Genomic DNA, 12,668 nt, shown 5'->3' with positions numbered 1-12,668 from the left:
GGAACTATGCTGGAATGGATAGAGGTTACCAGAAAGTGATATAAAGAATTGCCAATGGGCAGCCAATATTAAATTACCTGAGTCTAAATAAAATATCTGTTATATAGTACAACTTTCTCAATTTAACTAGTTTCAGGTCCCTTATCTTTAATTTTCTCCAAGGTAAACTTCACTGGAGCACAAATTATTGTAGGATTTGAAGATGGAGTTGTTCGAATTCTTGAACTTTATGATCCAAAAGGGCTCACGATTTTTGCGGGACGGAAGAAAATTTTGGATGCTGATATTCAGTTGAAACAGGTTTTCAAACCCCATACTGCTTGTGTCACTGCTTTAGCTTATGAACGTGATGGGGAAATTCTAGCCACAGGGGTAAGCAGTACATTTCCTTTCTTTTCTTGTTGAAATTTTATAGTTAAATTGCCTTATAAGTCCTCCTACTTCATCATGTCTTATTTACTGAAATTCATTTTCTATCAATATATTCACATTTTGCTTTCTTTGTAGTCATATTCTTTCAGCGTAGTCTGTGAATAACCCTCTTTTTAATCAGAAGAGAGCTGGAGCATGTGAATAACACTTAAAAATATTCTTACAAATTGAATTCTAATGCTTATTTTAGGTGAATTGAAAATTTCAACTGGGGACCATGCTAGTTGTATTATTTATAATCAGTATTTTATTCAGCATAGTTATGTTCTTATATAGAATTGCCATAAATGAAGAGAATAACTGTGTAAATTCTTTATGCACTAATAGGTGAGCATATGCATGGTATAATTTTTTTGTGTGAATTTCTGAAAGTATGGTGATCATATTTTCAGAACCACATACTGAAACACATGGTTTTCCAAATGCTCTAATGGGGAAAATTGAGCAAGTTTTAGAAATAAGAATTCTCCTAGAATAATCTGGGATATATGACCATTGTAGATAGAGATAGCGTTATGTTATTACATGCTTTTTTGTGATCTATAGGCTAGATTTCATAGTAATATATATTTCGTCGGTGTGTCTCTTTTTCCTTAGAGTAAAGATCAAACTGTTTTCTTCTTTGAAGTGGAAAGGGATTATAAGCCGATTGGTTATATTAATACTCCTGGACCTGTGTGTCAGTTAATGTGGTCTCCCATGTCTCATGTAAGTCATTATTATTTGTCTTCCTGTTTGAATCTCAATTACTACATAGTGAAACTATCTTGTAGATAGAAAATAGCAGGTGGAATTTTTAGCCCACTCCTGGTTCCTGCAGTGAGGGTCAGGGATGCGGCAACAGAAAGCTCAGGTGGCTGCTGCTGGGGTTGGCCCGTAGAGCATCACTCAGGAGCCTTGCTCTCTCCTCACTGCCTCCTTTCTCTTCCGTGGGCTTATTAGTTGACCATGATCTTCTCTCAAAAACCAGGGTTATATCAGGCTTTGCTCCAACGGGACTTTTGGCCACAGGCACAGCATGTCGAAATGCTTTCACCTGGATCAGTCAGTCTCTCTAACAATCAGAAGCTGAATTCTAAGGTCTGAATGTACTTTTCCTCATCTTTATCTCTTTACTTCTCCTCTGCCCTCAATCCACATCTATTTTCTCTTCTATCCTTTTATTTCTTCTTTCTTAGCAATTGGTAATTCGGTATTGATTACTAATCTCTTTTAATGTCTCCAGTTTTACTAAATGTGAGCATATGAGAATTCAGTCATCTAAATATTGATTGACTGTCTAAACCAAGTGCTGTGCCAGGTGCCAAGATGATAATACTGATGAATTGCATAGAAGTGCCATCAGGATTATTGGAGTAACGTTGGTAATCCACTTTAAGCTTTTCTAAATAAAAGGGCCATAAAATATATTAGTATTATCTACAAAATGCTTTTTGAAGTTAGTCAACAAATACTCATTGTTTCTATCTTTTCTAGGCACTGTAGTGGATTAAATAAGCAGTACAAAGTAGTCTCTCAAGGAGAAAAAACTATACATTTAAAAAGTTAAATATACCTTATCATTGAATAATAAGGTTTCACAAAGGAATTGGTGACTAAAATATCAATGGTGTAGACCAAGCTTGTCCATCCCATAGCCTGTGGGCTGCATGCATGTGGGCTTTGAATGAGGCGCAACACAAATTCATAAACTTTCTTAAAACTTTATGAGATATTTTGCAATTTTTTTTTTTAGCTCGTCAGCTGTTGTTAGTGTTAGTGTATTTTATGTGTGGGCCAAGACAATTCTTCTTTTTGCAGTGTGGCCCAGGGAAGCAAAAAGATTGGACACCCCTGGTATAGAGAATGTGTGTTGTGAATTTAGAGCAGGGAACTATCAAGAAAGGAAGAAGTTAAAATTAAGTTATTATTTTGTATTATTGTACCTTGATTTTGAGAAATTGGTAGGATATGACCAAATGAATAAGAGATAGCTACAGATGGTTCAGGTGAGGGGAGTGATAGCTGCAAAGGAAGCTCTGTGAGAAAGCATGAATGTTTATATCACAACATATAATATTATGTGCATCCTTCATTCACTTCCCTAGATACAAAGTTAAAAAGATCAACCAACATTTGGCAGGGGTTGGGGTGGTGAGTGGGAGGGGAGTAGGTGTGACATTAAAGAAGTAGCTTGAAGGAGACCTTTGTGGTGATGGTATAGTTTTGTGTCTTAATTGTCATGATGCTTACATAAATCTATACATATGAAAAAATGCTGTAGAGCTGTACACACATTCTATACTAATGTCAATGTCCTGGGTGGTTGTGTATAGTTGCATAACATGTAACCAGTGGTAGAAACTGAGTGAAGGGTATGTGATACCTCTCTGTACTATCTTTTCAACTTCCTGTAAATCTATACTTATTTCAAAATAAGTTTAAAAAAATTAAAAGTAATTTTTAGTTTATTTGTATGGCTATAAAGGAATACTTGAGGCTGGGCAATTTGGCTCATGGCTTTGCAGGCTATACGAGAAGCATGGTGCCAGCATCTTCTTCTGGTGAGGGCCTCACGGGCTTGTAGTCATGTCAGAAGGTGAAAAGGAGTTAGCCTGTATAGAGATCATGTGGTGAGAGAGGAAGCAAGAGGGAGAGTGGGGAGATCAGGCGCGGTGGCTCACGCCTGTAATCCCAGCACTTTGGGAGGCCAAGGCAAGTAGATCACTTGAGTGCAGCAGTTGAGACAAGCTTGGGCAACATAGTGAAACCCTGTCTCTACAAAAAATACAAAAATTAGCCAGGTATGGTGGTGCATGCCTCTAGTCCCAGCTACTCGGGAGGTTGAGGTGGGAGGATCGCTTGAGGCTGCAGTGTGCCAAGATCGTGCCACTGCGCTCCATCCAGCTTGGGTGTCAAGAGTGAGACCCTATCACAAACAAACAAACAAAAGAGGGAGTGGGGAGGTGCCAGGCTCTTTTTAATAACCAGCTCTCCTGGGAATGAATAGAACAAGAACCCACCCCCTTCCCCACCTAGGGAAATCATCAATCTATTCATGAGGCATCCACCCGCAAGACCCAAACACCTCCCATTAGGCCCCATGTCTAACATTAGAGATCAAATTCCAACATGAGATTTGGAGGGGACAAACATCCTGTAACGTACAAGACCAAAACACTCAGCATAATTTAAAAGTCATTTTGGGCAGTGCTGCTTGCTAGCACTTGTATTTCTAATGTCATTTGCAAATTACTAAAGTAAAAAGTAAATTACTGTATGTAACTGACCTGCTACAGACTTTAATTGTCCAAATTGCAATAGGTCTTAGCCCTTACCAGCTGAAATATCAGATCTCATATCTGAGCATAACGTATTAAGCTTCTGCCTGATGGCTTTGAGTGGTTCTGGTAAGGGTGCGTCCCATGTACACACAGAGCCATTCTGTCTGCCATGGCTACTACCATGTTCACTTTGGCAGCAGTGTGGAGAAGATACAAGGGAGCCAGGTCAGGGGCAGGTGGATCTATTGGGCAGCTGTGATGTGACTAGAGCATGAAAGACTGTGCAGACAAGAGATATTTAGAAGAGAGAATTGACAGAACTTGGTGATCTTTTATTTTTGTGAAGACAATTTTGAGGTATCTAAATGGAGTTCATTATAGTTTCTCTAAGACATGTTCTTCCTCCCGTATTATTCTTGGACTTCATTTTCCCTGTCACTAAAGCCAGAATCTTGAGAGTTATTCTGGTCTTTATTATTATTATTTGTAATTTTTGTGGATACATGGTAGATATATGTATTTATGGGGTACATGAGATATTTTGATAAGGCATATAATGCATAATAATCATATGAGGGTAAATGGGATATCCGTCACCTCAAGCATTTATCCTTTGTGTTACAAACAATCCACTCATACTCTTTTAGTTATTTTGACATGTGCAATAAGTTATTATTGACTATAATCTCCCGGTTGTGCTAATAAATACTATATCTTATTCATTCTATGTATTTTTTCTTACTCATATACCATCCCCAATTTGCACCCCACCCCCCGCCACACCCACCACCCTTCTAAGCTGCTGTTGACCATCATTCTACTCGCCATCTCTATGAGTTCAGTTGTTTTAATTGTTAGCTCACAAGTAAGGGAGACCATGTGATGTTTGTCTTTCTGTACCTGGCTTTTTTCACTTAACTTAATAACCTCCAGTTCCATCCAGGTTGTTGCAAATCATAGGATTTCATTCTTTTTTATGGCTGAAGAGTACACATTGTGTATATGTACTACATTTTCTTTATCCATTCATCTGTTGATGGATACTTAGGTTGCTTTCAAATCTTGGCTATTGTGAATAGTGATGCAATAAACATGGGAGTACAGATGTACTGATTTCCTTCAATATACTGATTTCCTTTCTTTTGGGTATATACCTAGCAGTGGGATTGCTGGATCATATGTTAGCTCCATTTTTAGTTTTTTTGAGGAACCCCAAACTGTTCTCCATAGTGGTTGTACTAATTTACATTCCTACCAACAGTATAATTTACTCCACATTCTTGCCAGCATTTGGCATTGCCTGTCTTTTGGAAAAAAGCCATTTTAACAGGAATGAGATGATATATCATAGTTTTTATTTGCATTTCTCTGATGATTCGTGATGTTGAGCACCTTTTCATATACCTGTTTGCCATTCTCATGCCTTCTTTTCAGAAATGTCTCTTCAGAACTTTTCCCAATTTTAAAATTGGATTAGTAGATTTTTTCCCCCATAGAGTTGTTTGGGCTCCTTATATATTCTGGTTATTAATTCCTTGTCAGATGGATAATTTGCAAATATTTTCTCTCATTCTGTGAGAGAAATATTCTTCACTTTATTTAGAGAATTTAATTCACTTTATGAAGAGAATTAAAAGAAATTCTCTTCACTTTATTGATGTCTTCCTTTGCTGCGCAGAAGGTTTTTAAGTTGATGTGATTCCATTTGTCCATTTTCGCTTTGGTTGCCTGTGCTTGTGGGGTGTTATTCAAGAAATCTTTGCCCAGTCTAATGTCCTGGAGAGTTTCCCCAATGTTTTCTTTTAATTGTTTCATAGTTTTGAGGTCTTAAGTTTAAGTCTTTAATCCATTTTGATTTGATTTTTGTATATAGCAAGAGATAGGGGTCATTTTATTCTTCTGCATATGGATATCCAGTTTTTCCAAAACTGTTTATTAAAGAGACTGCTCTTTGTGCAATGTACGTTCTTGGCATCTTTGTCAAAAATGAGCTCATCGTAGATGTATGGATTTGTTTTTGCATTCTGTATTCTGTTCTATTGGTCTGTGTTTCTGTTTTTATGTCAGTACCATGCTGTTTTGGTTCCTGTATCTCTGTAGTATAACTTGAAGTCAGCTAATGTGATTTCTCCAGCTTTGTTCTTTCTGTTCAGCATAGCTTTGTCTATTCTGAGTCTTTTGTGATTCTGTATAAATTTTAGGATTTTTTTTCTATGTGTATGAAGAATGTGATTGCTATTTTGATAGGCATTGCATTGAATTTGTAGATTGCTTTAGATACTATGGACATTTTAACAATATTGATTCTTCCAATATATGAATATGGAATATCTTTCCTTTTTTTGTTCCTCTTCAATTTCTTTCATCCATATTTTATAGTTGTCATTGTAGAAATCTTTCACTTCTTTGGTTAAGTTAATCTCTATGTATTTTATTTTATTTGTAGCTATTATAAGTGTGATTACTTTTTTGATTTCTTTTTCAGATTGTTTGCTGTTGGTGTATAGAAATGCTATTGATTTTTGTGTGTTGATTTTGTATCCTGCAACTTTACCAAATTTGTTTACCAGTTCTAATAGTTTTTTGGTGGCGTCTTTAGATTTTACCAAATATAAGATCATATAATCTGCAAACAAGGATAATTTGACTTCTTTCTTTCTAGTTTGGATGCCCTTTATTTCTTTCTTATCTGATTACTCTATCTAGAACTTCCAGTACTATGTTGAATAACAGCAGTAACAGTGGGCATCTTTGTTGTGTTTCAGATCTTAGAGGAAAGGCTTTCTGTATTTCTTCATTCAGTATGATACTAGCTATAGGTCTGTCATATATGGGTTTTATTGTGTTGAGGTATATTCCTTCTCTACCCAGTCTTTTGAGAATTTTTGTCATGATGGGATGTTGAATTTTATCAAGTGCATTTTCAGCATCAATTGAAATGGTGGTGTGATTTTTGTCCTTCATTCTGTTGATATGATGTACCACATTGATTGATTTGCATATGTTGAACCATCCTTGCATCCCTGGGATAATTCCCACTTGGCCATGATGAATGATCTTTTTAATGTGTTGTTGAATTCAGTTTGCTAGTATTTTGTTGAGGTTTTGCATCAATATTCATCTGTGATAGTGGCCTATAGTTTTCTTTTTATGATGTGCCTTTGTCTGGCTTTGGTATTAGGGTAGTACTGGCCTTGTTGAATGAGTTTGGAAGTATTCCCTTCTCCTCATTTTTCATAATAGTTTGAGCATGATTGGTATTCTTAAATGTTTGGTAGAATTCAACAGTGAAGCCATTGGGTCCCAGGCTTTTCTTTGCTAGGATAATTTTTTTATTATGGCTTTGATCTCATTACTCATAATTGGTCTGTTCACGTTTTGAATTTCTTCATGGTTCAGTCTTGGTAGGTTGTATGTGTCTAGGAATTTTACTATTTCTTCAAGGTTTTAAAATTTACTTGCATAAAGTTGCTCATAGTAGCCTCTACTGATCCTTTGAATTTCTGTGGTATCAGTTGTAATGTCTCCTTTTTCATCTTTGATTTCATATATTTTAGGCTTCTCTCTCTTATTTTGTTAGTCTGGCTAAAGGTTTGTCAATTTATCTTTTGAAAAAAACAACTTTTTAATTTGTTGATCTTTTGTTTTCTTTCAATTTCATTTAATTTTGTTCTGATCTTTTTCATTTATTTTCTTCTACTAATTTTGAGTTTGGTTTGCACTTGCTTTTTTAGTTCTTTAAGATATGCCATTAGTTATTTGAGGTTTTTCTATCTTTTTTGATGTAGTTGCTTATAGCTATAAACTTTTCTCTTAGTACTGCTTTCACCGTATACCATAGGTTTTGGTATGTTGTGTTTCTACTGTCATTTGTTTCAAGACATTTTTAAATTTTCTTCTTAATTTCTTCATTGACCCACTGGTCATTCAGGAACATATTGTTTAATTCCTGTGAGTTCATGTAGTTTCCAAAATTCCTTTTTATTGATTTCTAATTTTATTCCATTGTGGTCAGAGAAGATACTTGATATAATTTCAATTTTTGGAATGTTTTAAGACTTGTTTTGTGGACTAACATATGGTCTGTTCTTAAGAATTATCCATATGCTGAGGAGAATAATGTGTATTCTGCAGCCATTGGATAAAAAGTTCTATAAATATCTATTAGGTCAATTTGGTCTATAGTGCAGATTAAGTCCAATGTTTCCTTGTTCATTTTCTGCCTGGATGATCTGTCCAGTGTTGACAGTTGGGTGTTAGAATCTCCAGCTATTGTTGTATTGGGGTTGATCTCTTTCTTTAGCTCTAATAATATTTGGCTTATATATCTGAGTTCTCCAGCATTGGATGCATATATATTTACAATTGTTATATCCTTTTACTGAATTGACCTCTTTATCATTATATAATGACCTTCTATGTCTTAAAATCTATTTTTGTCTGATGTAAGTGTAATTATTTCTACTCTATTTTGATTTCTGTTTGCATGGAACATCTTTCTGTTCCTTTACTTTCAGTCTATATGTGTCTTTATAGATGAGGTGTGTTTCTTGTAGGCAACAGATCACTGAGTCTTGTTTTTTAAATCCATTCAGCCATCTCATTTCTTTTGTTTAGAGAGTTTAGTCCATTTACTTTCAATGCTATTGTTGATAAGTAAGGACTTACTTTTGCCATTTTGTTATTTGTTTTCTGGTTGATTTGTGGTCTTCTCTTTCTTCTCTCCTTCCTTCTTATCTACGTTTTAGTGACGGTGATTTTCTCTGGTGGTATGTTTTAAATTTCTTGTATATCCATTGTATGTTTTTTTCATTGAAGTTACTATCAGGATTGCAAATAATATCTTATAACCTGTTATTTTAACTGATGACAACTTAACACTGATTTTATAAACAAACTAATAAGCAAGTTCCCACAACTGGGACTGTGCTGGGTCAGTCCTGAAGCCAGAATAGCACCGAGTCTTGCCCAAGGCCTGTGGTAACCACTCCCTGGCTACTGCCTATGTTTGCTCAAGTCCCTAGGTCTCTACAGTCAGCAGGTGGTGAAGCCAGCCAGGCTTGTATTCCCTTCAGGGTGGTGAGATCGTCAGGCAGGTCCAGGGATGCTGTCTGGGAGTCAGGGCCTGGAGTCAGAAACCTTAGGAATTTGCCTGGTGTTCTATTCTACTGTGGCTGAACTGGCACTCCAACCATGAAATGCAGTCCTTCCCATTCTTCCCTCCCTTTTCCACAAGCAGAGAAGTCTCTTCCCAAGGCTGCCACTACCCCAGACCTGTGGCAAGTACTCCCTGGCTATTGCTGATTCTCACTCAAGGCCCAAGGGCTCTTCAGTCAGCTTGTGGCGAATGCTGGCAGTCCTGAGTCTTTCCCTTCAGGACAGTGGGCTTTCCTCTGGCCCAGGACCAGAAATGGTGTCCAAGAGCTAAGGCTTGAAATTGGGAGCCCCAGGTGCCCACTTAGTGCTCTATTCCACTGTGCCCAAGCTGGTACCTAAACTGCAAGACAAAATACCCTTGACTCTTCCCTCTCCGTACTTCTCAAGCAGAAGGAGTCCTTCCTCATAGCCACCACAGTTGGGAATGTGCTGGGTCATACTTAAAACCAGCTTGTCCCAGAGTCTCATCCAAGGCCCACAGTGTGTACTACCTGGCCATCACTGTTGATTATTCGGGGCCCAAGCGCTCTTTAGTCAGCAGGTGATGAATCCTGCCAGGATTGAGTCCTTCTCTTCAAGGGGATGGGTTCCCTGCTGTCCCAGGGTGTGTCTGGAGATATCATCTGGGACCTAGGGCCTGGAATAGGGGCCTCACAACTCTTCCTGGTGCCCTACCTACTGTAGCTTAGCTGGTATCCAAGTTGCAAGACCAAGTCCTCTTTATTTTTCCCCCTCCTCTCCTTAAGCAGATGGGAGAATTATCTCCCAGAGCTGCGAGCTGTGCTGCCTGGGGTTGGGCAAGAGGTGGCACAGACACTCTCTTGGCCACCCAGGCTGGTGTCTCACTATATTGCATGCCCTCCAAAATCCACTGGCTCTGAGCCCAGTACAGCACCAGGACTTGTCTAGGAATTGCAGTCCTTATGGCCTAGACTGCCTTTCAAGTTTATTTAGGATCGCAGAGCACTTTAGGCTATGGTGGTGAGGCTTACCAGAACTCAGGTTCTGACTACTGGGCTGAACCATTCCCCTCTGACTCGGGCTGGTCTAAATACTCTGTCTGTGGGCACTGGCTGAGTTGTGCCCAAAGCTGCTTTCTGTTGTGACAGGCAGCACTGTGTTCTGATGCAGTCTCACAGTTATTGCTCTGTCCTTCCCCCAAGTACCCAGATTATCTCTTCATGCCACACAGCCACCAGAGTGGTGTCAGCAATTCAAGACTGTCTTTCCTACCCTCTGCAGTGCCTCTTTCAGTGATGTAAAGTTAAAACCAAGTATTGTCATCACTCACCTGATTTTTGATTCTTAGCAAGGTGTTTTTGTGTGTGTGTAGATAGTTGTTAAATTTGGTGTTCCTGTGGGGAGGTCAATTGGTGGAGGCTTCTAATCAGCCATCTTGCTCTGCCTCCTCCCTATTCTAGCCTTGTCCCTGCCTCTAACCACCTTGCCCTTCAGTAGTTCAGGAAGACTTATTGATTGTACAACCTAGGCATCTCTTCCTCTGTATCTTCTTTGTTCTTCACTGTTTCATGTAATATGCTTTTGAACTTGATCTTCTTTGCCTTAAATGACAAACACAAAAGAAGACAGCAATAGACAAAAGACAGACAAAAGACCTACAGACTAATAGGAAATAATGAACAAGACAACAATAGTAAATCCTTCCCTATCAATAATTATTTTAAATGTATATGGATTAAACTCCACAATCTAAAGACATAGAGAAGCTGAATGAATAAAAAAAATAAGACCCAACTTGGTTGAAAGTGAAGAGATGAAAAAAGACATTCCATGCAAATGGTAACCAAACATGAGCAGGGATTGCTCTATTTATATGAGACAACATAGACTTTACATAAAAAACTATCATAAGATACAAAGAATAACATCTTATAATAATAAAAGATAAGTCCACCAGAAAGATATAACAATTATGAATATATATACATCCCACCTCAGAGCACCTAAATATATAAAGCAAACATTGAGAAAGATGAAGGGAGAAATAGACAGTAATACAATGATAGCAGATTTCAGTATCCCACTTCTAATAATGGATAAAACATATAGATCGAAAATCAATAAAGAAACAGAGGCAGGGCGCAGTGCCTCATGCCTATAATCTCAGCACTCTGGGAGGCTGAGGCAGGCAGATCACCTGAGGTCAGGAGTTTGAGACAAGCCTGGTCAACATGGTGAAACCCTGTCTCTACCAAAAAAAAAAAAATACAAAAATTAGCTTTGTGGTGGCATGCCTATAGTCCCAGCTACTGGGGAGGCTGAGGTGGGAGAATCGCTTGAACCCGGGAGGCAGAGGTTTCAGTGAGCTGAGGTCACACCACCACCCTCCAGCCTGGGTGAGAGTAAGACCCCAGCTCAAAACAAACAAACAAACAAACAAAACCCCAGAAGACCTGTATAACACCATAGGCCAAATAGCCCTAACAGATGTGTTCAGAGCAGTCCACCGACAGCTGTAGAATACACATTCTTCTCAAGTGATATGGAACTTTCTCTGGGATAGATCAAATGTTGTTTTTACCACATACAATGAAGTTTTTTAAAAAAGAAAGAAAATCATAAAATATAAACTCTCTTTCTTTGAGGCTCTTGTCATTCACCTATAACATCTTTTCTTTCTACATTGCTATCATCTTCTGACTACCTGGTTGATCCTGTTTCTTTATTTGAATTTTAAGAATATGGTTGTCTTTCTCTCTAGTAAAAGTGCAAACAAGTATTCTGAATGAAATTGTATTAGTCTGTTTTCACACTACTGATAAAGACATACCCAAGACTGGGTAATTTATAAATAAAAAGAGGTTTAATGGACTCACAGTTCCTCATGGCTGGGGAGGCCTCACAATCATGGTGGAAGACAAAGGAAGAGCTAAGGGATGTCTTACATGGCGGCAGGCAAGAAGAAGTCTTGTGAAGGGGAACTCCTCTTTATAAATCTGTCAGATCTTGTGAGACTTATTCACTGTCATGAAAACAGCACAGGAAAGACCTGCCCCAATGATCCGATTACCTTCCACCAGGTCCCTCCCATGACATGTGGGAATTGTGGGGGCTACAATTCAAGATGAAACTTGGGTGGGGACACAGCCAAACCATATTAGATATTAACCATGTGGATAATCGATCAAACAGCATCAGACTCTGAACTTCTTGACTCCCTCATCTTCCATGATTTTTATAGTTTGCCCACACACTTTCACAGCTACCCACTGGATACTTATTACTGTGTTTTTGTTTGCTAGACCTACCATAACAAAATACAACAAAGTGGATGGCTTAAACAACATAATTTCTTTCCTTACAATTCTGGAGGCTAGAAGCCCCAAATCAAGGTGTTGGTAGATTTAGTTTCTTATGAGACCACTGCTTGGCTTGCAGACAGCTGTTTCTTGCTGTGTTCTCACATGGTCATCTCTATGTTTGTGTTGTCTGTGTCTTAATCCCCTTTTCTTATAAAGACATCAATCATATTGGATTAAGGGCCCACCCTAACAACCCTGTTTTAACTTATCTCTTTTAAAGATCTATCCCCAAAGATCTATCAGTCACATTCTGAAGTATTGAGGGTTAGGACTTCAATATATGAATTTTTTTCTGAAGGGACACAATTCAGCACATAACAACTATAAGAGCTCAAGCTTAAAAGTCAACTATTTGGGGCCAGTTATGGTGGCTCACACCTGTAATCCCAGCACTTTGGGAGGTCAAGGTGGGTGGATCACAAGGTCAGGGGATCGAGACCATCCTGGCTAACACGGTGAAACTCTGTCTCTACTAAAAATACAAAAAAATTAC

At 38.2% G+C, this 12,668-nt stretch overlaps 1 protein-coding gene and 1 long non-coding RNA gene across 8 annotated transcripts in view; both read left to right on the top strand.

Annotated features, from left to right (window-relative positions):
• Positions 1 to 12,668, top strand: part of SPICE1-CFAP44 (SPICE1-CFAP44 readthrough (NMD candidate)) — a 228,227-nt gene that overhangs the window by 118,267 nt on the left and 97,292 nt on the right. For 3 of the 6 annotated variants that reach the window (NR_183050.1, NR_183049.1, NR_183047.1), the window contains 2 exons: positions 163 to 372; positions 1,030 to 1,140. The exons of the other annotated variants lie outside the window; for them this stretch is intronic. This is a non-coding gene — a long non-coding RNA (SPICE1-CFAP44 readthrough (NMD candidate)). The remainder of the gene's footprint in view (positions 1 to 162; positions 373 to 1,029; positions 1,141 to 12,668) is intronic. 6 annotated transcript variants of the gene reach the window in all.
• CFAP44 (cilia and flagella associated protein 44) overlaps positions 1 to 12,668 on the top strand; it is a 154,585-nt gene that overhangs the window by 44,625 nt on the left and 97,292 nt on the right. For both annotated transcript variants that reach the window (NM_001164496.2, NM_018338.3), the window contains exons 14-15: positions 163 to 372; positions 1,030 to 1,140. In NM_001164496.2, the coding sequence (NP_001157968.1) occupies positions 163 to 372; positions 1,030 to 1,140 (321 nt within the window). The remainder of the gene's footprint in view (positions 1 to 162; positions 373 to 1,029; positions 1,141 to 12,668) is intronic.

This window comes from Homo sapiens, chromosome 3 (genome assembly GCF_000001405.40).
Source record: "Homo sapiens chromosome 3, GRCh38.p14 Primary Assembly".
Taxonomy (NCBI): domain Eukaryota; kingdom Metazoa; phylum Chordata; class Mammalia; order Primates; family Hominidae; genus Homo; species Homo sapiens.
This window is presented reverse-complemented; position numbering and strand designations above follow the sequence as displayed.